At 38.8% G+C, this 27,551-nt stretch overlaps 2 protein-coding genes and 1 long non-coding RNA gene across 12 annotated transcripts in view, besides 4 other annotated features; 1 reads left to right on the forward strand and 2 right to left on the reverse strand.

The window, feature by feature from the left end:
• CKMT2-AS1 (CKMT2 antisense RNA 1) overlaps nt 1-7,229 on the reverse strand; it is a 64,005-nt gene extending 56,776 nt beyond the window's left edge. For all 3 annotated transcript variants that reach the window (NR_034123.1, NR_034121.1, NR_034122.1), the window contains exon 1: nt 6,947-7,229. This is a non-coding gene — a long non-coding RNA (CKMT2 antisense RNA 1). The remainder of the gene's footprint in view (nt 1-6,946) is intronic.
• Nucleotides 6,976-7,765: an enhancer, noted in NCBI's record as "H3K27ac-H3K4me1 hESC enhancer chr5:80597135-80597924 (GRCh37/hg19 assembly coordinates)". NCBI's record gives its function as "activates a minimal SCP1, AML or CMV promoter by ChIP-STARR-seq in primed H9 embryonic stem cells {active_cell/tissue: H9 hESC(primed)}" and the evidence as "EXISTENCE:reporter gene assay evidence [ECO:0000049][PMID:30033119]".
• Nucleotides 7,247-18,957, forward strand: ZCCHC9 (zinc finger CCHC-type containing 9). 5 transcript variants are annotated; one of them, NM_032280.3, is made up of 6 exons: nt 7,247-7,715; nt 10,401-10,801; nt 14,221-14,371; nt 14,606-14,698; nt 16,871-16,939; nt 18,204-18,957. In NM_032280.3, exons 2-6 carry the CDS (start codon nt 10,418-10,420, stop codon nt 18,320-18,322), a joined length of 816 nt encoding a protein of 271 aa, NP_115656.1. In that variant the 5' UTR covers nt 7,247-7,715; nt 10,401-10,417; the 3' UTR covers nt 18,323-18,957. The 5 variants fall into 5 exon arrangements, with proteins under 5 accessions (NP_115656.1, XP_047273783.1, NP_001124507.1 ...); XM_047417827.1 differs by having other exon boundaries at nt 7,247-7,627; NM_001131035.2 differs by having other exon boundaries at nt 7,247-7,358.
• Nucleotides 7,329-7,428: an enhancer, noted in NCBI's record as "active region_22731". NCBI's record gives its function as "activates an Ori minimal core promoter by ATAC-STARR-seq in GM12878 lymphoblastoid cells {active_cell/tissue: GM12878}" and the evidence as "EXISTENCE:reporter gene assay evidence [ECO:0000049][PMID:35858748]".
• Nucleotides 7,579-7,758: an enhancer, noted in NCBI's record as "active region_22732". NCBI's record gives its function as "activates an Ori minimal core promoter by ATAC-STARR-seq in GM12878 lymphoblastoid cells {active_cell/tissue: GM12878}" and the evidence as "EXISTENCE:reporter gene assay evidence [ECO:0000049][PMID:35858748]".
• Nucleotides 7,766-8,555: an enhancer, noted in NCBI's record as "H3K27ac-H3K4me1 hESC enhancer chr5:80597925-80598714 (GRCh37/hg19 assembly coordinates)". NCBI's record gives its function as "activates a minimal SCP1, AML or CMV promoter by ChIP-STARR-seq in primed H9 embryonic stem cells {active_cell/tissue: H9 hESC(primed)}" and the evidence as "EXISTENCE:reporter gene assay evidence [ECO:0000049][PMID:30033119]".
• ACOT12 (acyl-CoA thioesterase 12) overlaps nt 14,269-27,551 on the reverse strand; it is an 85,526-nt gene continuing 72,243 nt past the window's right edge. For all 4 annotated transcript variants that reach the window (XM_017009047.2, XM_017009046.2, XM_017009045.2 and 1 more), the window contains one exon: nt 14,269-16,686. In XM_017009047.2, coding sequence (XP_016864536.1) covers nt 16,635-16,686 — 52 coding nt within the window. In that variant the 3' untranslated portion in view covers nt 14,269-16,634. The remainder of the gene's footprint in view (nt 16,687-27,551) is intronic.

The following is a 27,551-nucleotide window of genomic DNA, read 5'->3' on the forward strand; positions in this document are numbered from 1 at the left end:
TACTTTGAGAGGCTGAGGTGGGTGGATCACGAGGTCAAGAGATTGAGACCATCATGGCCAACACGGTGAAACCCTGTCTCTACCAAAAACACAAAAATTAGCCGGGTATGGTGGCGCATGCCTATAGTCCCAGCTACTCAAGAGGCTGAGGCAGGAGAATCACTTGAACCCAGGAGGGGGAGGTTGCAGTGAGCCAAGATCGTGCCACTGCACTCCAGCCTGGCGACCGAGTGAGACTCCGTCTCAAAAAAAAGACCAAAAAAAAAAAAGTCAAAAACAACAGATGCTAGTGAGGCTGCAGAGAAAAGGGAATGTTAATACACTGTTGGTGTGAATGTAAATTAGACCAGCCACTGTGGAAAGCAATTTGGAGATTTCTCAAAGAACTGAGAACTACCACTTGATCCAGCAGTCCTGGGTCTCAAAGGAATGTAAATCGTTCTGTTATAAAGACACATGCACTCATATGTTCACTGCAGCACTATTCACAATAGCAAAGGCACAGAATCAACCTAGGTGCCCATGAATGGTGGACTGGATAAAGTAAATATGTACATATACACCATGGAATACTATGCAGCCATAAAAAGAAATCATGTCCTTTGCAGCAACATGGATGAAGCTAGAGGCCATTATGTTAAGTGACTTAACACAGGAACAGAAAACCAAATACCATATGTTCTTGCTTATAAGTAGGAGCTGAACACTGGGTATTCATGGACATAAAGATGGCAACAACAGTCACTGGGGACTGCTAGAGGGAGGAGAACAAGGGTTGAAAAACTATTAGGTATTATGTTCAGTACTTGGGTGATGGGATCAATCATAACCCAAGCCTCAGCATCATGCAATATACCCATGTAACAAACATGCACATTCTTAAGAATGCTGTGTTTCACAAATTGCACATTCTAAATTCAAATTGTTTGCAGATTTTGTGATAAGGGAAAGTATACATAGTTAACACCTTGATTCTTACATTTAAGAGTAACTTAAGTAGTAAATAAAGGAGAAAGATGTAAAACTGAGCTTCAAGAGAATCAAGTAAATACTACTCATAAAATGGTTAAACACAAGTTTTTAAAAAATTTTTTTTATATTGTGGTAAACATACGTAACAAAATTTACTACTAGTCATTTTAAGTGTACAGTTCTGTGGCATTAAGCATATCCACAATGCTGCATAACCATCACTACCATTCTAAATTTCAGTTTTAAAAACCAACATCCAATACAGGAAAAGTGGCAACACATGTAGATTGAATACTGTACCTTAGGATTAGGTCTTAAAAGTCCTTCTTAGTATTTAAAAGAAGAATTTTTAAAAATTTTATATATATATAATATATATAAAATAGATATATCATATATGATATCTCTCTATATCATTAGATACGTCTATATATGTCTATATATCATATATAATAGATATATCTATTATATATCTATCATATGATATATATCATATATCATATGATAGATATATCTATTACATATTATAGATATATCTATTATATATCTATATCTATTATATATTATATTTAATAGATATATCTACATATAATATATATTATATATTATATAATAGATATATCTACATATATTATATATTATATATAATAGATATATCTACATATTATATATAATAGATATATCTACATATAATATATATTATATATAATAGATATATCTACATATTATATATTATACATTATATATAATAGATATATATCTATTATATATTAGATATATATTATATATCTAATATATATTTAATTATGTATAGTATATATAAGATAATAGATATATCTATAATATATAGTATATATCTTATATATACTATATATAATAGATTAATATATCTATATTATTATATATAATATTGGTTATATATAATAGATATATAATTATATGTATCTATTATATATATATATCTCTATCTGGTTTGCTGTACTTCTCCAAGACATACTGTTTAGAGATCTAAAAGCCACATACACTCAGTGTAGCTAATCTTCCTCTCTGAAAACTTGCTGGTGACTTCCATATAAAGCTTCCCTGGGCAAAACTACACAAGTGCCTTCCTTCATTTGCTCCTTGAGGAATTTAAAATCTGTTTTTTTTTTTTTGAGACAAAGTTTCATTCTTGTCACCCAGGCTAGAGTGCAATGGAGCGATCTCAGCTCACTGCAACCTCTGCCTCCGAGATTCAAGCGATTCTCCTGCCTCAGCCTCCTGAGTAGCTGGGATTACAGGTGCCTGCCTCCACGCTTGGCTTTTTTTTTTTTTTTTTTTTTTGTATTTTTACTAGAGACGAGGTTTCATCATGTTGTCCAGGCTGGTCTCGAACTCCTGACCTCAGGTGATCCGCCTGCCTCGTCCTCCCAAAGTGCTGGGATTAAAGAAGTGAGCCACCGCGCCTGGCCCTGTTTGTCTTCTTTACCAGATTCCTCTGGGGGTATGAACTGTGTCCAATTCATCTTCATAGAGCTCACCATTAGACTCTCACATCTTCCGGAATATATGTAAATGTGACTTTCTACATCTTCTTGGTCCATAAATGTTTCTTAAATATTTGTGGGACCTCTTTTCCTATGATCATTTATTTGCTATGCCATAGTTTTGGGCAGGTTATGTTTTTCCTCGTATGTGGTCCTCTTAAATTAGTTCATCTGAAATCATTAATTACTGTACTGTTTTTACCCAGACTTACTGGTAGATTATTTTATATAGTAGTTACTAAATCAGTACGAAATATTTTTGCCACTTGGTTATGTTCACTTTGACCTTTTATGAAGTACTAGCATAAATTTTTATCTCTTTTTTGTGTATATGTCAGCGTGTGTCAGTCTTATCTGCAAAAGCATTTCAGCTTATTGGAGAGGATTTTAGATCGAGTACATGTATTTATTTTTTACTGACTCCTCCTCCTCACCTCCCTGATCCCTCTCTCCAGTTGTCTGCAACACATTCTACTGTGAAGTTTTTCTTAAAACTTCCCAGGAAGAAATATTTTATCTGTAATCTCTATATCACCATAATTCCCTCACTAATTATAACATCAGCTTATTAGTGGTTTAGCAATCTGTCTTACTCTCACAGGCTCTTGGCTGCTTAAGGGCAGGGACCTCTCTGTCATTTGTATATATTTAGCACTTAAGGTACTGGCAAATAGTAGACATCAAAAAGTGCTTTTTCCTCACCTATCCTATTTTACAGAATTCCATTTGTAACTGCAAGACCTCTCATTGTTCCTTGGAATGGACAGTCTAAGGCCCGTATCTGGTATGATTTCCTCAGACATAAGGAGGAGGAAGTACGCATTTCAGAGAATAAAGGAGAGCTTGCAAATCTTGCCACTTGTTTGTAATTTAGGTTTAAGTATTCATTTGAAGCACTTAACATCCTAACCACCGAAACACATGATTAGGAACTCAAATTTGAGAAATACAACAAGATGGTAAGATGAGTCAGAAGGATACATCATTTTTGTGATTAGTGTTCCAACACTATTCTTTATCACGTTTAAGCAAAGAAGATGAAAGAGATTCAAGCTTTTTCAGAGGGTAACACAAACTTTATATTATTCCTATTCCTTATTGCCTAGGAACCTCAAGTAACTTCCACTAATAGGTTTCTCTTGCTCCACACTTCCAATAGATTTTCTTTCACTTCTGAAATAAAGCAGTATTGCTTGTAATTTTGTTACTGAGAAAACCAACAATGCAAATGAAAGCATGTTAGTTAACAAAATTCAGTCACTAGCATTGTGTTCTATGGCAATCACTTAACTTCTCTGAAACTTAATTTATTGATCTGTAAAACAAGAAGATAGGGTTTTAAGAGGTATGTATTTCTATGAGTCTATAATTAGAAATTCTCATGTGCTGTGTCAAAACTCCCATGGATTAAAAATAACTCTTTAATAATGATTCTAAATGTAATACACACCCATTAAAGAATATCTGTAAAATTATGTATAAAGAAAAAAACCCTCACAATCCTATTACTCATGGGCCTTATTGTAAGGATCCTAAAGCAGCTAAAAATATCACTGACAGGTTTTTAAGATGTCAGAATGTCACTGGTCTGGATCTTATTTTTATTTCCAACAGCAGGGTCATTAATTTTTTTCCTCTCTCTTCTGCTGTATTTTTCTGCATACTATAAAAAAGTTCAATAACTGCCCGGAGAATGCATTAGGTACAGTTTTCCACACAATCCTCTTCTCCAGATCTATTTTATGGGATCTCCTGTATGATCTAAAACACTATCCACAGTTGTTCATTGCTTAAGCTCTAATGGATAAAGTTTGAACACTATAATTTCACATTTAAAAACACTTTAATTTGGCAAAATCTCATCCCAGCCTTCCTTTCCAGATTCACTGTTCTCCGTTCCAAATTGCTCTATAGGTAAACTGGCTGCCTGGAGGCTGTTCACTCTAATGTGTGAGTCAGTTAGAGGGATGGTCCACCCAGGCTGGGCCTTGGACACTTCTAGTCCTCATCACCTATTGGTCACTTCATCTAGGGTGGCCAAGCGCCTAATATTCAGAGAGAATCTGGGCAAGAATGAAGATTTAAAATTCTAATGGTAGTGGTTTCAATTCCTGGTAATATGGAATAAGCACACTCCACTGTCTCTGCCAGTGAATCAAGCTATAAATCAGCAATTTGAGGACTGGAAAAGAAACAGCAGCAGGAAAATTGAGAAGACGACCAGAATTCCTTATTTAACATTTACCTTCCTGATAATATTGTTATAAAAAATACATTTACAGTATTTCAATAAGTAGATGGGAAAACTGAATACAAACATAATCCCTTGAACTGTAAAAGTAAATACTTTCCAAAAAAAAAAAATCGAATTTGGGCAAGGATAACTTAGTAAAGTGTTTTAAAGTGGATCAAGTAGACAAACAATCCTCTGCAGTATTTCAAAGTAGCAGAGCACACAGGTTTGGATTGAGATCTTGGTTCAAATCCTGACTCTACCTCTTATTAGCTGTCTGACCTTGGATAAGTTACGTCAGCTCTGTGAATTTATTCCCTCATTGCAAAATGGAGAAAATAATAGTACCAACCTCACAGAATACTGAGTGGACTAATTAGGTAACGAATGCAAACCATTAAGCATACTGCTGGCACCTATAAAATGTTCAGTAAAGTTAGCTATTAGTAGCAATAGTTTCCTCCGAATTCCAAAGGACTTATTCTACGCCCTATTTGCTCAACTACTAATCTTTATTGGACATACCGCTACAAAAAGAAATCGGTATGTTCCTTTGCTTCCAAGAATGAACGACCTACAGTTTAAAATGCAATATACCACTAAAAAGAAAAGTTTTAGTTAAATGCGCCCTCTAGTGGTATGTTATGTGTAAGTACCTTGCATCTACCAAAGATAAAACCTCTTCATGAAATGTCACTACCCTGAAACCAGCTGGTTGAGATCATTACAGTATGGGCAGCACTACCACACATCTTTTAGGAAGTTCCCTATCTTCAAGAGCTGGAAGTTGCTGTTGTTTGTTTGTTGTCTTTTAAAACTTTCTCCACCATATGAACTACGGTATTTGTGATATGTACCATACCAAATCTCAACATTCCTACAAGCACTGACTTTAAAATCCCTTCTCTTAAAGAAAACTGGGCCACTTTCTAGTTTGCTTTAAACAAACATCGCAAAGTACTTATTCTTCATTTACTTAACAAATACGAGGGCCAGGCGCGGTGGCTCACGCCTGTAATCCCAGCACTTTGGAGGGAAGAGGTGGGCGGATCGCCTAACTCAGGAGTTTGAGACCAACCTGGCCAACATGGCGATATCCCATCACTACTAAAAATACAAAATCTAGCCGGGCGCGGTGGCGGGCGCCTGTAATCTCAGCTACTTGGGCGGCTGAGGCAGAAGAATCGCTTGAACCCGGGACGCAGAGGTTGCAGTGAGCCGAGATCGCGCCATTGCACTCCAGCCTGGGCGACAAGAGCCAAACTCCTTCTCAAAAAACAAAACAAAACAAAACAAAAAAACAAATACGCAGTGAGCACCAAGGATGTACCAGGCAATGAGGATACAATAAACTTACACAATTATTGTGTAATTACAAATGTGAACCGTGTCATAAGAAAGTATAGACTGCCGTGAGCACACAGTAGGGGATTGGTCTAGTATGGGGGTAGGGGGCTGGAAGGCTTTCTTGAGAATAAAATACTTAAAGCCTTGAAGGGTGAGTAGAAAGTAACTGGAAGAAGAAAAGGAGTACCATACAAAGAGACTAGCAAATGTAAAGGCCTGGAGATGGCAAGGTACACACGGCATTTGAGAAATTGAAAAAATGATCCTATGCACGGAGCTCAAAGGAGAGACTGAGCAAGGTGAGGCTAGGGAAGTAGGCAGGGACTTCATAAGGAGTTCGAATTTCATCCTAAAACAATGGGAAGCGAAGGGAGAGTTTAAAGCAGTACAGCAGTACTGCTTTAAATGTAATGATTTACATTTTCAAAAGTTCCGTTCCTACGACACGGAAAATGGATTTCAGGGAGTTGGGGCAGAATGAATCCCCAGACCAGTTGTAGAACTACAGGTACAATATGGGACAAGGGAGGAGGTGCCAACAGAGATAAAAAGAAGTGGACAAATATTCAAAAGGTTAAATGGATTGAGCAAACTGTTGAGAGTAGTGGTCCTGGTAAATTGCATTTTTTCACTAGGCACAGCTGGTGGTGGTATCCATTTGCAAGAAGCTACAGAAAATGAGCCGTTTGGAAATCCAGGGTTTTCCTCTTAAAAAGAGAACTTGTTTGGCTACAAAGTGTTAACATTTTAATTGAATGCTCAACGAGCACTGAAGGGGGGACATGAGGCACTGCCTCTCACCCAAGAGAGCCCCCAAATGTCCTTTTCAGACTTTTATCACAGTGACCCACTCCCACCGCGCCTTTACCTTGCCTCTGCCTGGAATGTCCTTAACTCCCTCTTGCCGGCAATTTCACCAGATTTTTGATTTCTTATCCAGTCTCACGGGAAGCCTTTCCGGCATCTCCCACCCTACCGATCTTCCCGTCTATCTCGCCTGCTACACTGTGAGTTCAGACAGCACGGATTGAACTCTTCATCTTTTCGTGTCGGCGTCCTGCACAGGGCCATCCCATCACTAAGCGCGCCACAAACTCAGCCCAGTATTGACGCCCACGAGTCGCTTGTAAAGACCGTCTGTGACGCCGGAAGTGACGCGCTCTCGGGCACTATGTGCTTCCGGTCTCCAATACCGCAGGAGGGCGGTCTTCCCCGGCTCGCCAACTCGGCTGCTCTGGGGGATTCGTGCGCGGTAAGAAGCTGCGCGGTAGCGCGGTGAGGTGAGGTTCTCAGCCACCAAAGCTGCAGGGTCTCGTCGTTCGTTCCCTCTGGCCTGGCGGAACTTGCGTGGGAAGCTGGGAGGACAGAAGGCTTAGCCGCTGGGTCCCTGAGCTGGCTGGAGCGCGGGCTGTCTAGGGGCGGCGACCTCAGCTGTTGGGCTCCGGCTGCTGGGGGCTGTGCGTCCAGCCGCCCTGGAATCCGCCTGTGGGTGGGCCGCTTGGCTCTCCCACTTCACCCTCTTGATAACCCAGAGCCTCCCCCTTCCCACGTACGTAGGGGAAGGATAATCTACTTCCTTTTGAACAGCTTCGGTCCCCACTATGACAGTCGCATAAACTTCAGCGAAGAGTGCGCTGGTAAAGTGGCATGGAGTTTCTCACACCAATTCATTGGGTCCACCCTTCAGCTTCTGTGGAAGGGGTCTTTCTGTTACTAGGAGCTGAGACTTGGGGGGTTGCCAGGGATGCTGGTCTTAAAAGGTGATAATTTAGGCCGGGCGCGGTGGCTCACGCCTGTAATCCCAGCACTTTGGGAGGTCGAGGCGGGCAGATCTCCTGAGCTCAGGAGTTCGAGACCACCCTGGGCAACATGGTGAAACCCCTTCTCTACTAAAATACAAAAAATTAGCTGGGCGTGGTGGCACGCGCCTGTAATCCCAGCTATTCGGGAGGCTGAGGCCCGAGAATCGCTTGAGCCCTGGCGGCAGAGGTTGCAGTGAGCCAAGATCGCCCACTGCACTCCAGGTTGGGCTACAGAGTGAGACTCCGTCTCAACAACGACCACAACAACAACAAAAAAGGTGGTGGCTTAATACAGCCATGCTCCCCTTAAGAACTGGTATAGTTATGAGAAATGGTTGGGCCGTTTCGTGGTTGTGTGAACATCATAGTGTACTTGCACAAACCTACACAGCTGGGCCGTATGGGATAGCCTGTTACTCCTAGTCTACAGACCTGTACAGTATAACTACTAAATACTGTAGGCAGTTGTAAAAGGATGGTGTGTATCTAAACACAGAAAAGATACTGTAAAAATATAGTGTAAAAGAAAACATGGTACAGCTGAATAGGGCACTTACGCATGGAGCTTGCAGGGCTGTCGGTAGCTATTAAGTGAGTCAGTGAGTGGTATGTGAGTGTGAAGGCCTACGATATTATTTAGGGTATTACTGTACACTACTGTAGACTTTATAAATGCGGTATGCTTAGTCTAAGTTTATTAAAAATAAGGTAATAACCTTAGCTTACTGTGCTTTTTTAACTTTATAAACTTTTAAATTAATTTTAACTCCTTGACCTTTTTTTTTTTTTTTTGAGACGGAGTTTATTCTCTCTGTCTCTCATTTTTGAGACAGAGTTTTGCTCTTGTCACCCAGGCTGGAGTGCAGTGGCGCAATCTCAGCTCACTGCAACGTCCACCTCTTGAGTTCAAGCGATTCTCCTGCCTCAGCTTCCCAGGTGGTGCGCGCCTGTAGCTGGGACTACAAGAGTGCGCCACCACGCCCAGCTAATTTTTGTATTTTTAGTAGAGATGGGGTTTGACCATGTTGGCCAGGATGGTCTCGATATCCTGACCTTGTGATCCACCTGGCCTTGGCCTCCCAAAGTGCTGGGATTACAGGCGTGAGCCACCATACCCGGCCCACTCTTTTGTAATAACACTTAGCTTAAAATGCTAATGTGTTGTATAGCTATATAAAAATATTTTCTTTATTCCCTTACATTATTCTATAGCTTTTTCCTGTAAAAATTTTTTTTGTTGTTATAAACTAAGACACACACATTGTGCCTACACCGGGTCAGGAGCATCAATATCACTCTTTTCTTCCTCCACATCTTGTCCTACTGGAAGGTTTTCAGGGGCAGTAACATGAATGGAGCTGTCATCTCCTATAATAACTGCTTTTTTCTGGAATACTTATAATTGTCTAGTATTATGTACAGTACATCATTGTAAGCATTATGCTTGTATATGACTGGCATCCCAGGTTTGTTTACACCAGCATTACCACAGACATGAGTAATGTGTTACACTACAAGTTATGAGGGCTACAAAGTCAATAGGAATTTTTCAGCTCCATTATAATCATCTGAGACCAGTATCATGTGTGCAGTCGCTGTTGACCTAAATGTTATGTAGCATGTGACTAGCTGATGAATCTTTGATTATGGCTGAATGTTCTCATTCATTGCAGGAAAAAAATATCCTCCAAATCACTAGGTAGTATGTAAGTGACCAAAACTTTTTTCCATTTTATGTTGGAGCCAAATCATTAGTGTTAGGATAAATTACTTCTTTATGTATGTGCTCTAAAATGAAAAGTTATTTCTGAATATTAAAGCATATGTATTAAGAGTATAAAAACAAGATACAGATTTTGGTGTGAAATATATCTTATGATTCAAGTCATAATTTAAATAGAATTGAAGATGATGTGAAATCACTGGGCTGGAAGTAGCTTATACCTTGATTAGTAAGAGGAAGCCCGGGATCATCCTGTGATGGTAAACACTTTTATATGTTTTACTTATAACTTTGCCAGGAAATTTCAACAAACTTCATATTAAAGGACATGATTTCTGTATACTTAGTAATCTGCTATGCAAATTGTTGCATTGAAATGGCAGACGAAGCAAGAAGATTGGGAGAAAGTAGCTGTGGGACTTGGAGATAGGAAAATAAACAGCCGGGAAAACTGCAGAATGTGGGAGGAATAATTGCATTCATTGTATTACTATCTGATTTATATTTTATGAAATAATTTGGTTTCTTAAGATAGTTTTTCAATTTTAAGCACACCTTTTTTAACTGGTGTGGCAGCTTTTCTGGTAAGTGGTAGATTTATGTTAGAAGCATGTCTATGCAGCATATTATAGCATTAAATATGTATACAGATATCTAACTGAAATAAAAAGTGTTTTAATAATTAAAAGTTTAACATATGGGCATATGTGACATATAGTGATATAGCATGTCTCTTTAGTTTTGTTGTTTTTGTTGTTGATGGCTAACCACCCATGCTTGTCTTAAAAATTGATAAGGTACCACTGATGAAATTATGACCAGGTGGGCCCGAGTTAGTACCACATATAACAAGAGACCCTTGCCTGCAACATCATGGGAGGACATGAAGAAGGGATCCTTTGAGGGAACAAGCCAAAACCTACCAAAGCGTAAACAACTTGAAGCCAATAGGCTATCCCTCAAAAATGATGCACCCCAAGCAAAACATAAAAAGAACAAAAAGAAAAAAGAGTACTTAAATGAAGATGTGAATGGATTCATGGAATACCTAAGACAGAATTCACAGATGGTTCACAATGGGCAAATTATAGCAACAGACAGTGAGGAAGTAAGGGAAGAAATTGCAGTTGCTTTAAAGAAAGACAGTCGACGGGAAGGAAGAAGATTAAAAAGACAAGCGGCAAAGAAAAATGCAATGGTGAGAGCATCACTTCTACCATGTTATTTACTTTATTTAGCTGGAAACTATTCTTATATTCACACACATATATACCTTAGCCAGCTCTGGTTACCATTATGTCCCAGATTTATAGAGCATCGTTTTAAGGACTAGTACTTTTTTAGCACATATATGCTAGGCACATGATGTACTGGTTAATTATTACAACAACACAGCAAAGGTGATGGCATATATTCCCATATTATGGATGGCAAACACTGAAGTGCAGATAGATTAAATAACCTGTGGAAGCCACTTAGCTAGTAGCAGAGGTGACATTCAAACCCAGCCTGACTTCAAAACCTACGTTATAGACCAGATGTGGTGGCCCATGCCCGTGATCCCAGCACTTTAGGAAGCTGAGGCGGGAGGATCACTTGAGCCCAGGAATTAAAGACGAGCCAGGGCCACATAGGGAGACGCCATGTCTACCAAAAAAAAAAAAAAAAATTAGCCAGGTGTGGTGGTACACACCTGTGATCCCAGCTACTACTGCCAGCTGAGGCAGGAGGATTGGGCCTGGGAGGTCGAGGCTACAGTGAACCATGTGATCAACCGCTGCATTTCAGTCTGGGTGACAAAACGAGAGTTCGTCCTCCAAAAAAACCAAAACCTATCCTCACCTTCCAATAGCCCCTTTTTCAAATTAGCATTGAGAAAATGTCAAAATTATGAAGAAGATGAAGTAGAACAGGTTAAATGTGTGTGGGTCCCTATTACTTGGAAAGGATGTTCTTTATCTATGAAATACTGAAGCACAGGAAAGAGATACATAGGAGTCATACTAGTTAGAGCAGAGTAATAGCAGAATTGAAAGTCCTTGAGACTCCCTAGTCATTGCTTCCTCCCTCCCCCATATTACATTCAGAAGAATGCTGGGGGCAGCAGGTTTCTTTCTCTAATGCCTAGCCCTAGATTTTAAAGTATGTCAGGCAAAGGGGATGAAATACTTGGTATAATTATTTCCCTTCTCTAAGTGAGTTTCCCAAGCCTCCTAGTACACCACTTCATAAGAATGAGGACTTGTTGCTAGTTATTATACTTTTATTTTTTATTAGTATTACTATATGTAGAGCACTGTTTGCACCATTGCAGGCTTAAAATGTTAACAGCCTCTATAAATGTGTCTTTTGGCTGTTTGCAAGATTAGTCTATGCATTGTTATATTTAAAGATAGTTATTTAGAGATAATACTGATGAAACATTCCTTATGGATAAATTTGAATAGAAAGGATAACATTTCTGTTGGTATCAGGATAGAGTTTTGTGTAAGTTAACGATTTTTAAATATTTTAAGTCATTTTAGTTTAGTTGACATAGGCGGTATGGTGAATCACATACCATTTGAAAACATTTACTGTTATGACCGCTTAAGAAAAGCATTATGTTTGTAATTAAGTGGGGAAGGATATTGTTTTTTAAAAAGGGGAGTGCTATATAAATAGTATATGGCTTGTTATGACCTGTTGTTAAATTTACTTCCTTGGTATTTTTTTAATACCTTATACTAAGCATCGGTCCTTAAATGCTAATAAAATGATATGCTATAGAAATTTACAATCAGTGCTTCACAATCCCATCTACATTAAACTTAAGGACCATTCAAAAATGTTGTATTAGGTGATGATTAGGTTTTAAAAGAGAAGGCAGTGAACTAAGGCAGTAGTCTCAGCTTAGTAGAGACCACCTTGACTTCACCAAGAAGCCAAGACTTCTTATGGTGGTGATGCAGGTTTTAGCAGTAGCTTTTCCTGCATTTGTATAATAAATACAGCTTCTTTTTTTTGGACCAGCTCATTCTAAATGTACAAGTTACTGAAGAATTTAAAGGGACTCATTCTTTTTCAATATTTTATTAAGTAGGAAAAAAAGGACAGTTGCAAAATAAATGTTTTATTTTGCTGGTTGAATTTGCTTTTTAAAAAAACCTGTGCTTATTTTGAAAAAACATAATTAAATGACTATTTATTATCCAAGAAATATGTATATCTTTTTCCAGTTTAAATAAAATAGTTTAAATATCTGCCATCTTTGATTATGGTTGATGTTCTCATTTATTGCAGCAAAAAAATTCTTCAAATTTCTGTAAACAACTAACCATTGCTCAGTTTTATGTTGGAGCCAAATAATTCATCTTGGAATAAATTATTCCTTTAAAATGTATTGTGCATATATTCTAAAAATGAAACCTATTTCTGAATATTAAAGAATGTGTATGGCTGGGTGTGGTGGCTCATGCCTGTAATCCCAGCACTTTGGGAGGCTGAGGCAGGTGCATCAGGAGATCGAGACCATCCTGGCCAACATGATGAAATCCCATCTCTACTAAAAAATACCAAAATTAGCTGGGCGTGGTGGTGCGTGCTTGTAATCCCAGCTACTTGGGAGGCTGAGGCAGGAGAATCATTTGAACCTGGGAGACGGAGGTTGCAGTGAGCCGAGATCACGCCACTGCACTCCAGCCTGGTGACAGCGAGATTCTGTCTCAAAAAACAAAAAAGTATTTAGGGTAAAAAACAAGGATATACTTTTTGCTATGAAATATATCTTATGGCCAGGCGTGGTGGCTCATGCCTGTAATCCCAGCACTTTGGGAGGCCGAGGCGGGTGGATCACCTGAGGTCAGGAGTTCGAGACCAGCCTGGCCAACATGGTGAAACCCCGTCTCCACTAAAAGTACAAAAATTAGCCAGGTGGTGGTACACACCTGTAATCCCAGCTACTTGGGAGGCTGAGGCAGGAGAATCACTTGAACCCAGGAGGCAAAGTTTTCAGTGAGCTGAGATTGGGCCACTGCACTCCAGCCTGGGTGATGGAGTAAGACTCCGTCTCAAAAAAAAAAAAAAAAAAAAAAAAAAAAATCTATCTATCTATCTATCTATCTATCTATCTATCTTATGGTTTGAATCATAATTTGAATGGAAATGTCTGACCCAAATTCATTCAATTATGTGAACTTTAAAAGAAATATTAATTTTTTAAAATTTTGAGTACATAATTATATACAAATACAAATTTTGAGTGACAGTTTTTATAGCCACTGTCCATTTCCTATAGAAAATGCCATTTTTCTACTGCAGACATTCCAGTTAATAAAATGAATAGTCCATATTTGCTCAATTCATTTAAGCAATTGCCGTCTACAAAGCCACATATATAACATTGTTCCTGAGATTTATGGATTTATTGATTGAGGTTTTCAAAAGCAATGAAACCCTCTGATGGAAAGGATATCTCGTTGTTTAGGAACGTATGAAAGCTTTTTTCTACAAATATTGAGATTTCAGAAAAATAGCTTAATAAGATGAGAAATGTTTTAAATATGTTTTTGATAACAAGAATTAATAAAGTCACTGGTATAGTTTTGCAGCGTGCCAACCTACGTTTTGTTTTCCTAGGTGTGTTTCCATTGTAGAAAACCTGGTCATGGAATTGCAGATTGCCCCGCCGCCCTTGAAAATCAAGACATGGGCACTGGGATATGTTACAGGTGTGGGTCCACAGAGCACGAAATAACCAAGTGTAAGGCTAAAGTAGACCCGGCTCTTGGTATGTGTTTCTTTCAGTTTTTTGTTTTGTTCATGGGGAAAGCCAATAAATAGCACCTTGGGTATTTTTTTAACACAATTTGTTACGAGTGTGCCACTTAGTATTTGGAAATCATATGAGATTAAATTTTAAGTTATGTAAATATATTTTTTATTCAGAGTATTTTAAAATAATGTTAATTTTATGACTTGCCATATGTATTGTCAACTGAATAGGAACTGTTGATTTTTACAGGCGAATTTCCTTTTGCAAAATGTTTTGTTTGTGGAGAAATGGGGCACCTGTCTAGATCTTGTCCTGATAATCCCAAAGGACTCTATGCTGATGGTAAGTACTGTTACCCTCATATAGCAGAAATGGTGAGTCATCGTGCAGTTGTGATTTAATTTACACTCAATCACAGTTCTTGAATAAATTCTTGAATAAATTGCAAAACCTTGAGAATTACATTATTTTTATCAAGTGCTATCATATGTACTAGGCTTTTTGTGCAATTTGACTTCAGATGTTAATAAAACAAATCAGAAAAAACTAAGGTGTATATTTCCAACTGTGCTTGCTTCATCATTTGTGAGACTATGTCATACATTTCTACTTTTAGACATAACAGAAGCAGAGAGATTATATCTCAAGCTAATATGAGGTTTTTAAAATCGTATTATATATTCAGCCTCAGCCAGCATATCATTTTGGTGGAGGGGTGGGTACAGATGATTCAATATTGTAGTAATGTTTGCTTCTGAATTTTTTTTCTTAGTTATTTGTCTGGTATGGGATCATGTAGCTTTTTTCTCTTTAACTCGGGTAATTAAGGTTCACACAGTAAAGTCTATGCGGTCTAAAGCTTTAAGGCGGAGGTTGTTATCTGTTAATGTGATGGCTGGTGCCATCAGGCTCTAGACGTTTCTTGTGTCATGTCCTGGGTTTCCCTCCTGGAGAAGTCCAGTGAAAAAGCATAGCTTTTGGAGTTGGTCAGACTTGGGTTACAGCGCCAGCACTGCCACTCACTAGCTGGGGGGCTTTGGCCAACTACCAAACTCTGATCTCCGTTTCCTCACCTATAGAGTGGAGATGATAAAACTATATTTTATTGATTCTAAGATGCACAGTTTTTCAATTTTAATCTCTTGGAAATCAGAATGTATCTTACCGTTGGTGGGTCCCATATAATTGACAGCTGTTTTTCTTTCTGAGAGGTATGTGCAATAATGATACATCTTATAATCAGTGGTGTCTTAGAGTTGATGAATTATGGTATTTGCCTAAAGAATTTTTATAAGGATTAAAATGTATTATTCAAGTGCTTCTCTTTCACTATGGCATATAAAGAGGCCAGGGCCTGGAAAATGCTCAGGTGCATTTCAGTTTTGAGCTTATAAAACTGGGTAGATAACATGACTAGTGAGCAAAAATGGCTTTCACTGGTCAACCAAAGTGACTAGCTGTAAAAAAAAAAAAAAAAAAAAAAATTAATGCAGCAAGGAGAGTAGATCCCATAGATGTGAAAATTTGGCCATATTTGCCTGTGTGTGCCTTGATTTTATACCTTGTAATCTTTTGTTTACAATAAGGGGCTTTCTGCGATTTGTTTTAATTTAGAACACTTTAGTAGCAATAGAAACACTGGATACATTTTTGTATGGTACATTTGATGTATATAGAATTAGTACTTTATTTTTAAGAGGTAAAGCATTATGTTGGGGGAAAAGTAGGGTGGGTTTCCACATTTGCATTTTTATGTTAAAAATAAAGTCAAGATTTGGGGGAAAAAAAAAAGAAAATTCAGCCAGATTTGTATCTGATTAGGTCATTTTTCTAAGTCACTTAACATTTCGAGCATGATCAAGATAATGCTTGACCATTAAGCAATAGTGTTTGATCATTAAGTGAAACACTTATTTTAGAAACCACATGTGTTGTAATTCACAATCCTGGAATGTTGTTTAAAGTAGGCAGGTGGGCATTTTTATAGGGTTAGGGTGCCTGGCCAGTGGAAGGCACTGAAACAAAAATTAACTTTATTTCTTTCATAAATGCTTACCCCCATCTGATCTGTACAGTAGAACAGTAGTTTCTAATCTGTTTTTGGGCCATTGACTGTTTGAGAATCTGACATGCTATTCAGGAAAGTGCATCTGCTTACATCTTTTGTTTACAGGTCCAAGGGTTCACAGACTCTTGATTGTCTAAGCATTGTTAAGATCCAGGCTTCTGTGCAATAGCTCTTGAACAAGTGCCTTCCATCATATCTCATTTCTTTTTCCTACTTCTCAAGGCCAGGTGCAAGAAGCAGTGGGTGGGTACAATTTAGTGCTCTGTGAGGTTAAAAGGAATGGAGAATGAATTAATAGGAATAGTGGCACCTCCCTATGATCCTGGTCTAGCTACCTTTACAACTGACAGGGTTGTGAGGATCCAGTAAGATGTGAAAGTGCTTTGAGATGTTAAAAACCCCTTGCAAGTATGAGATGGTATTCAGTGGCTTTGCTCTTTCAATAGGTGGCGGTTGCAAACTTTGTGGCTCTGTGGAACATTTAAAGAAAGATTGCCCTGAAAGTCAGAATTCAGGTGAGATCTCTGGGCCTCTACTTAGAAGGGGTGAGATTAGTATTCCTCTGCGTTTTATTCTGCACTTGTTATTAATAACTCAATTGGGATACTAATGATTTTAAGACAACCTGTTTTCCTACTGTAGCAATGACTTAATCTCTGTCAGCAATAGACACACATAGTATTGAGTAACTGAATAGTTGGGGGAAAAAAGTGACCAGTAAGCCTTAGGGGACCCTGACTTTATAAGACACCTGATTCATAAGCATTTATATTTGCTAACTAATGAATTTAATATAATAGAGCCAATTCTGTTACTTACAGAAAAATATGAATTCACTGAGAAAATAAAAAATATGAAATAACTTTCAATAGCCTTAATATTGAGTGTCCTTATGTATGCTTTGCTTTGTATGTACCTAAAAGATTCAGAGTTGATTGCAGAAACTACCAAAAATATTAAAAATGTGTTATCTACACAGTATCTGGCGATTTTCTTCCTGATGAAATACCAGCCTTATTCATCAAACACTTCAGAGATGTTCACTCTACCTATGGCAGACTTTTAAGGAAGTGGAGATCATTATTACATTAGTTTGCCTGGACTAGAATGATAATCCTATGTGAAGGAAAGCAAGAAGACAGTAGGATAGCCCAGCAGTGCTTCTTATGGAAAGAGCACTTTTTTTTATTTCACGTAGTCACAACACTACGCAAATAAGTCTGCTCATTCTTACTTCCTATCCCTAACATTTAAATTTGAAAACCAAGAGTTCTTATTTACAAGCTTGTCTAGAAGATAGTCTTTAGTACATTGTAGGCAGTGAGATTGAAATGATGAAGTGGAATTTGAATTCTCCCTCCTGGGAGGATTGCCACTTCCCAAATGACAAGACTGACAAGCAGATGTTGTATAATTTCACAGGTGGAATCTTGTGCATTTAAAACTGATGCTTCATAAGCCTTGCTGTTTACAGACTCTTGGAATTCATTGACTCTGTAATGATGAACTCTGGGAAAGAATGAAAGAGCTTTCTCATCAGTTCGTGCATTGCAAAGTAGTTGCTGCATTTCCCTAATTGGGATGAGAAATTGCCTGTGGTACTCTGAAATCAAGGGTTATAATCAATTACAGAATTGCTCACTTTCCTTTAGTGATGGAGTCTTCCCTCCTTGTGATTATTCATATCAAAATGAGTTCCTTTCCCAAACCAATAACAATCTGAGTGGATGCATTTGATTACTGTTTTTCTAACATTCTGATTTTTCTATTCCTTTACAGAGCGAATGGTCACAGTTGGTCGCTGGGCAAAGGGAATGAGTGCAGACTATGAAGAAATTTTGGATGTACCTAAACCGCAAAAACCCAAAACAAAAATACCTAAAGTTGTTAATTTTTGATAACAGCTAGCACTATCATGAGTTACTACCTCATTGTTACTTTCTAAACCAGGCCCGCTTCACGAGTTAGAGTTGAGCTCCCCTGTAGCCAGGACTATGCTGTAGATATCAGTATGATCTGGGTGTGGCCAAAAACAATTTTCTTTATTCTGTCTATCAAATAGTACTTCTACCACTGTTTGGAGAAAATTGAAGAAAAGAATAAGATGATTAAATGAATTCTCTAAAAGAACATATTTTAAGAGACAGAACTTAGACATAACCAAGTAGTTGTATACCTGATTGTAACAATCATCTTTTATAAAAGCAAAATTATGCATAAATGTAAAACACCCCTAAACAAAGGGAACAAATGAATTTTTGGTTATATTGTTTTCTTGGCTCAAAGTATCAATTTATTATTATAATAGAAATTTATAAGTTGCTAGAAAGTCTATATTTTTAAAGTACGGAATAAAAATATGTTTTCTATTAAGCAATAGAAATATTTTTGTGTATAATTTTTCTGAATACTTGATTCTCGATTGAAATATCCATTGTTCGTTAATATCCATGTAACAATCCCATTGGAAACAAGATTTTTTTTGAATCCTAGATGAGAATAAACAGGGATTTGGTTTTTGTTTTAGTTTTGACATAAAGGATTCCAAGTTACTGAAGTTAAAATTGAAATATCTCAGTTTAACAGCAGCTCTTTTTTGCCCTTGATTTTCAAGAGAGAACTTCTAGCCAAAATTCAGTTTTTGTTACTTAACCAGAATGATGGCAGATAACAGATGGTATAATAAACTTAATAGCATTTTGTTCTCATGTTTTAGATGAGTCAGAGTAAGATGGAAGTATCACCATAATAGAGTTAGAACACTAATCAGAGACCCATTAGCTTCTTTGTTTGATTTGATGAATTCATGCATACTTAATACATATATTTCACAAGGCTTAACACTACCATTGTACTGTATAATGGAATGACTCTAGTGGTTTTGTGTTTCATTTGAAATTTTACCTGATTGAATCCATTTGTAACTAAAGGAAACAGCTGTGATTAGTTACTGATGCCTCAAAAGCAAAATATTTACCAAATAAGAAAAGAAACACTTTTCTCTGTTTTCATCTCTGCACAACTCGACAGTTCTAGTCTTAATAGGAGCTGTTCTTTTATTTCAGTGTGAGAGGAAAACATGACAAAATACTGCTCAGCATCCCAGAGCTTAAGGAAATGAGTGCTATTTAGAAGGAATTGCACAAGCCAGGCAGTTGGAAAAGGACAGTAATGCTGCCTTAGTCATCTAGTCCGAACGCACCCAGATTTATTTCACCTGTCCCATCAGGAGCAGAGTCTACAGCCTGTCAGCTGAAAGTTAGGTCTAATGCTTTTTGTAGTCTTCAGTGCAAGAATGTTGGTATCCACTTTGTCTTTTTTGGATTACTTTTTGTGTGTGTGTGTGTGTATAATTTTTTTTTTGATAGCTCACTCTGTCACCCAGGCTAGAGTGCAGTGGCACAATCTTGGCTTACTGCAACCTTTGCCTCTTGGCTTCAAGCGATTCTCCTGCCTCAGCCTCCTGAGTAGCTGGGATTATAGGCACGCACCACCACACCCCGCTAATTTTTGCATTTTTACTAGAGATGGGGTTTCACCATGTTGGCCAGGCTGGTCTCGAAATCTTGACCTCGTGATCTGCTCGCCTCGGCCTCCCAAAGTGCTGGGATTACAGGCTTGAGCCACCATGCCCGGCCTACTTTGTTTATATTTTAATGATCTATAAATATTAGGCAGTGAAGTCATTAGAAATAAACTGCAGGTACTGAATGTAACATTAAACACGTGTAGAGACACTAAAAGGAATGCACCAGAGGCAGAAATCCTGAGAGATCCTGAGTGTTCATTAAAAGGAACTATAGACGTTGGTTATTTTCTTAGCTAAAAATGCCTAAAGAGGAAGGCAAACAATTTATTCATTCATCTTATATATTTCCCAAGCACTACTATGTTCCTGTTACTCTTATGCACTTGAAATTGTGGCAGTCAGCAAGACAGACAAGACCACATGCATTATAATGGGGCTGAATAATGGACAGGAGACTTAGGGAAAATACCAGCAAGAAATGTTTTATTACATTCCTAAAATATTTTTTGAATCCCCTGAGACTTTAAAAAATTTTTAAGATGGGGTCTTACCCTGTCACCCAGGCTGGAGTGCAGTGATGCAATCGTAGCTCACTGAAGCCTCAAACACCTGGGCTCCAGCGATCCTCCCGCCTCAGCCTCCTGAGTTGCTGGGATTACAATAGGCATGAGCCACTACACCCAGCTGAATCCCCTAAGACTTAGTCTTTAGTGCTCCTTCGGTCTTTTGTAAATTTCATCTCTTCTTACAAACTTATCTTTCACTTTTCCATAAATGATTCCTAAATCTCCAGCTAGCCCTAAAATCCCAGGTTTCAGTCCCGTCTTTTCACCTGCCTCCTGAATGTTCCTACTGGGATGCTCCACTAATACTTCAAATTCAATATGGCTTTAAACAGACTCACTTTCCCCTGGGGAAAAAGTGAGTTTACCTTTTTGTCTCTTTTTTCACTACAATTATGTTCCAAGCCATGAGGCCTGAATCTCAAGTTGCTCTTTACTTGACATTCCCTCCAGTCCCCATGGCCAGCCCCCCATCCCTGCTTATTTCCTTCAGGCATCTGCTATGACCAGCTTGAGTCTTTCTATGACCATCCTTATAGGAAAGAGCAGCTCCTTGCTTCCTCATCCCAATACCTAACACTATAGCTCTATTTGTTCCCTCTCTACCAGATTATAGGTTACACGAGGGCAGGAATTTTGATTCTTGTTCATTGCTATATCCCTAGAAATGCTTGGAATGTATGAAGCATTTGCATTTGTTGAATGAGTTAATTCAATGAGTGATATAAAAGGAATCAACAGAGAGATGATGCAAGTGACTGGGTAGCTCTTAGATTGGATAATCAAGAGGAGGCCTCTGTGGAAATTTTAAAGCTGAAATCTGAATGACACAAAGGAACCAGTCTTGAGTTAGCCAAAACCCCTAAAGAGAGAATGAGTTTGCCATATGTGAGGGACAGAAAGGAGTGTAGCTGAAGCCTAGAGAAGGGCCACATCAGGGCTATTCTGACCACCCTATTTAAAACAGAATCTACATCTCCATCCTAACACTGGCACTCCTGGTTCCCCTTACTTTGCTTTATGTTTTTCTGTGTCATTTATCACCTTCTACCATATTAAGTTATTTATTATATGTGTCGTTTTTGTCCCATCTCTCTGCTAGAATATAATCTCCACGGGGGGTGGATTCTTGTCTGTTCACTGATATACCCCAAATGCCTAAAACAGTACTTAGCACATAGTAGGCCCATAATATGTATTTATCATTTGACGAAGTCAGAGAGGTGGTGGGGGCAGTATCACACTGGAAAATTTAGGAAGCCATGGGAAAGTTTTGGTTTTATTCCCCTAACAGCTTTATTGAGATATAATTCACATACGATAAAATTCACACTTTTAAAGTGTACAACTAACTGGCTTTTAATCTAGTCAGAGTTGTACAACCATCGCCATTAATTCCAGGACATGTTATCACCCCATCAACAGCCAATACCCTTAAGCAGTTGCTCCCTATCCCTTCCTTCCCCCAGCTACTGGCATCTACTAATTTACCTTCTGTCTCTATACAGTTGCCTGTTCTGGACACTTTATGTAAATGGAATCATGCAATATGTGGTTTTTTGTGATTGGCTTCCTTCAGTTAACATGATGTTTTCAAGATTCATCCATAATAATCTATTGCATAGATATACCACATTTTATTCATCAGTTGATGGGCATTTGGGTGTTTGCCACTTTTTGGTTATTATTAACAAGGCTACTGTGAACATTTGTGTATAATCTTGTGAGGACATGTTTTCATTTCTCTTGGATATATACCTAGGAGTATATACCTAGAATATTTTTCAAAGTGACTATACCATTCGATAATCTAATCAGCAATGTATGAGAGTTTCAATTCTCCACATCCTTGGCAACACTTGATTTTGTTTCTCCTTTTTATTTTTGTCATCCCAGTGGGTGTAAAGTGGAATCTCATTGTGGTTTTGATTTGCATCCCCTAATGACTAATGATGTAGAATGCCTTTTCATGTGCTTATTGGCCATTTGTTATATGATCTCTGCAGAAAAGTCCATTCAAATTCTTTTCCTGTATTTTTTAATTGGGTTGTTATTTATTGCAGAATTGAAACGGCTTTATTTATTCTATATACAAATTCTTTAACAGGTTTATGATTTGCAAATGTTTTCTCTCATTCTGTGGTTTGTCTTTTGACTTTCTTGATGGTGTCCTTTGAGGCACAAAAATTTTAAATTTTGATGGAGTTCATCTTATCTGATTTTTCTTTTTATTCTTGTGTTTTTGGTGTTATCTTTGATGTCACACCTAGGAAACCACTGTCTAACCCAAGAGTATTAGTCCGTTCCCACACTGCTATAAAGAACTACCCAAGGCTGGGTAATTTATAAAGAAAAGAGGTTTAGGCCAGGCACAGTGGCTCACGCCTGTAATCCCAGCACTTTGGGAGGCTAAGGTGGGCGGATCACCTGAGGTCAGGAGTTCAAGACCAGCCTGGCCAACATGGCGAAACCCCGACTCTACTAAAAATACAAAAATTAGCCAGGCGCAGTGGTGGGCACATGTAATCCCAGCTACTCAGGAGGCTGAGGCAGGAGAATCACTGGAACCCGGGAAGTGGAGGCTTCAGTGAGCCGAGATCGTGCCACTGCACACCAGCCTGGGCAAGAAAGCGAGACTCCATCCCAAAAAAAAAAAAAAAAAGAGGTTTAATTGACTCACAGTTTCACAGGCTATACAGGAAGCATGGCTAAGAGGCCTCAGGAAACTTACAATCATGGCAGAAGTTGAATGGGAAGCAGGCACAATCTTTACATGGTGGAGCAGGAGAGATAGAGTGAAGGGGGAGGTGCTACACACTTTCAAACAACCAGATTTTATAAGAACTCTGTCACGAGAACAGCAAGGGGAAGTCTGCCCCGATGATTGAATCACTTCCCATCAGGCCCCTCCTTCAACACTGGGAATCACAATTTGACATGAGAGAGGTGGGGACATAGAGCCAAACCATATCACCAAGGTCTGGTTTTCTTCTGAGTTTTATATTTTTAGTTCTTATACTTAGGTTCACAATTTTTTTTTTTTTTTTTTGGAGACAGAGTTTGTAGCCCAGGCTGGAGTGCAGTGGCACAATCTCCGCTCACTGCAACCTCCACCTCCCAGGTTCAAGCCATTCTCCCACCTCAGCCTCCCAAGTAGCTGGGACTACAGGCATGCTGCACCATGCCTGGCTAATTTATGTATTTTTAGTAGAGACAGGGTTTCACCATGTTGGCCAGGCTAGTCTCGACCTCCTGACCTCAGGTGATCTGCCTGCCTCGGCCTCCCAAAGTGCTGGGATTACAGGTGTGAGCCACTATGCCTGGCCCATAATTCAATTTTAATTACTTTTGTGTATATGACTGGAGGTAGGGAATCCAACATCATGTTTTGCATGTGGATATCCAGTTTTCCCAGCACTGTTTGTTGAAAATTTTAGAGTATTCTTTCTTCATTAAATTGTTTTGGTTTCCTTTTTGAAATCATTGACCACAAATATAACAGTATATTTTTGGACTCTCAGTTCTATTCCAATGATCCTTATGTATATCCTTATGCCAGTACCACACTTTTGATTACTATAGCTTTGTACTAAGTTTTGAAATTAGTAAGTGTAAGTCCTCAAACTTTTCAAGTTTATTTTCTCTTGTTTATTTTCTCTTCTCTATTTTCCCTTATATTTTCATATGAATCTCACAATGAGCATTAGTTCATCAATTTCTGCAAAAAAGCCAGCTTCAGTTTCGATAGGGATTGTGTTGAGTCTGTAGATGAATTTGGGGAATATGGCCATCTTAACAATATTAAGTTTCCTGATCCATGAACATAGGGGTCATGATTCTCCTTATTTTCCTTTTAAGTTTTTACCTAGCTTCTTGTTTGCCTCAACTAGTATCACTGCATCAGGCAGTTATGATGTTAAACAATTGCTGCTGATTGTTTTCCACCACACTCAGGAGATGGGGCTGTTTGCACTAAATAAGTGCTAAATCAAAGGCAAGCTTTAGAAAGAGGCTTTTCCAGAGAACTGCCAAGCAGGAAAAACAGTGATAGTTTTCTGGGGATGTTTGTTGGGGGAGAGCTCCAATTCCCCACCCCCACCTCCCCAGTGGCTATTAGGCTGCTATTTTTCACAGCAACTGTAATTGTGAGATTGCTGATTTTCAAAACTACTTAGGACCTGCTGGAGAAGAGAATGGGAATAGGACAAGTTGAAATGCTACAAAACTCATGCTCTTACAGAGATTCAGCTGCTTTTCTTGAATAAACACTCCTTGTATTGTTGCAAGCCTTTGATTCACTTCCAGAGTTCTGAAAAAGCTTATTTGGATAATTTTTGCTAAAGTTTTTGTTACCATTATGAAACAGGTTCCTAGTTGACTATTCTGGACATCCTTCTCCCTGTTGGAAAGCTGTTGTGGTTTCTCAAATAACAACTGTATTGTGATATAATTCACGTATCATATAATTGACTATTTAAAGTGTATAATTCAATGGTTTTAGTATATTCACAGAGCTATGCAACCATAACCACAATCAATTTTAGAGCATCTTCAACACTTTCAAAAGAAATCCATACCAAGCTGGGCGCAGTGGCTCACGCCCTTAATCCCAGCACTTTGGGAGGCCAAGGCGGGCGGATTATCTGAGGTCGGGAATTTGAGACCAGCCTGACCAACATGGAGAAACCCCGTATCTACTAAAAATACAAAATTAGCTGGGCGTTGTGGTGCATGCCTGTAATCCCAGCTACTTGGGTGGCCGAGGCAGGAGAATCGCTTGAACCCGGGAGGTGGAGGTTGCAGTGAGCTGAGATAGCGCCATTGCACTCCAGCCTGGGCAACAAGAGCGAAACTGTCTCAAAAAAAAAAAAAAAGAAACCCATACCCATTAGCAGTCATTCATCCTTCCTATCCCCCAATGCTCACAGACACCCCACCCACCCTACCCTAAGCACCCATGAACCTACTTTCTTTCTCTAAATATTTGCCTACTCTCCTCATTGGGAAGTTTTAAGCTAGGAAGTGACATGCTGTGACAAACCTTTTTAAAAAATATCATTCTGGCTGCTATATGGAGAATAAATTGTAGGAGTACAAGAGTAAACACAGAGAGAGAAATTAGGAAGCTCTTGCAGTAAGAAATGATAGTGTCTTAGACTAGGGCGGTGAATGTGAAGATAGAGAGAAATGGACATAAATTTTGTTTCTGGCAGGAGGGTGAACCTCCAATTTGTCTTACCACCAAAAATACACCCCCAAAATGTGGAATAAATTTATTTTTCAATCTCCTTAAAAGCATAACTGAGTTTACAAGGAAGCACAGAACCTACAGAGGCCAGATATTAAGTGAATGCAGGAGCTTCAGAAGATAAGCCGGTGCTGAAGCTGAGGGTATCTGCTGAATCCTAAAAACTTTGAGCTGCCTGGGAAAGGAAATAAAGTCAAGGGCCTACTTACTATGGGCAGTATGGTTGAAGAACTTTGCATAAAGCAGAGACCAAAGAGCTATACCCTCAACGTAAGAGTGAATGGGACATAAGCTTGCCCTAAAGAAGACAGGAAGAAAACTTGTTGCCTGTCTCCACTTTGGCATTGGGTGGCAGGGGAGAAAAATTGTCCACTATCACCTGAGTTTTCAGTCTTAATTCATACTGCTTGTATGGTCAAATTGGCCTCAACTTGAGATCTTCATTAAAAAATCTGCTGGCAACGGCAGAATCATCACAATCCATTCTGGCAGCCCTCGACTACAACCTAGGCCTCAAAGAATTCACACAAAATTCAAGGGACCAGACTGCATGATAAAATCACAAAAACACACAAGAAAATATGACATTATGAATAAGAGCCAGCAGCAGCAATGAGTAGTAAAATCAATCCTGCAAACATTTCAGGTTTGGGAATTATTAGAGAAAATATAAACAAGTATGCTTTGTGTTTTGTTTTGTTTTGTTTGGGCCACTATAACCAAATACTATAAACTAAACCAGATGGCTTATAAACAACAGAAATTTTTATTTCTTACAGTTCTGGAGACTAAAAAGTCCAAGATCAAGGTGCCAACAGATTCAGTGTCTGTGAAGGCCGGCTCTCTGGTTCAATAGATAGTGCCTTCTTGGCCTGGCAAGATGGCTCACGTCTGTAATCCTAGCACTCTGGGAGGCCCAGGTGGGTGGATCGCTTGAATCCAGCAGCTCAAGACCGGCCTGGGCAACATGGCAAAACCCCGTCTCTACAAAAAATACAAAATTCAGCAGAACGTGGTGGCTTGCACCTGTAGTCCCAGCTACTTGGGAAGCTGGGGGAAAAGGATTGCTTGAGCCTAGGAGGTCAAGGCTGCAGTAAGCTAAGATCGCACCACTGTACTCCAGTCTGGATGACAGAGACAGAGCAAGACCTTGTCTCAAAAAAAGAGAAAAGAAAAAAACCAGATAGTGCCTTCTTGCTGTGTCCTCATATGGTAGAAAGGACAAACAAACTCCTTCAGGCCTCTTTTGTAAGAGCACCAGAGGGCTCAGCCCTCAGACCAAATCACCTCTCAAATGCTCTATTTTAATAGTATCACCTTGGGGGTTAGGATTTCAACATATGAATTTGGGGAGGATATAACATTCAGACCATAGCCATTCATATATTTAAAGAAATTTTAAAAATGGAAAACTTGGGCAAGGAATAGGAGATTGTTTAAAAAAACAAACAAACAAACAAAAAACTACCAGACTTAAAAAGTAACCAATAGAAACTTCTAGAATTGAAATATATAACTGAAATTGAAATTTTAATTTTAGGTCAAAAAATGATAAAGTGGGCCAGGTGCAGTGGCTCACGCCTATAATCCTAGCACTTTGGTGGGGCTGAGGTGGGTGGATTACCTGAGCTCAGGAGTTCAAGACCAGCCTGGGCAACATGGTGAAACCCCGACACTACTAAAATACAAAAAATTATCTGGGCATGGTGGTGCATGCCTGTAGTCCCAGCTACCCGGGAGGCTGAGGCACAAGAATTGCTTGAACCTGGGAGGCAAAGGTTGCGGTG

The sequence above is a fragment of the Homo sapiens genome, chromosome 5 (assembly GCF_000001405.40).
Source record: "Homo sapiens chromosome 5, GRCh38.p14 Primary Assembly".
NCBI classification, from domain to species: Eukaryota; Metazoa; Chordata; class Mammalia; order Primates; family Hominidae; genus Homo; species Homo sapiens.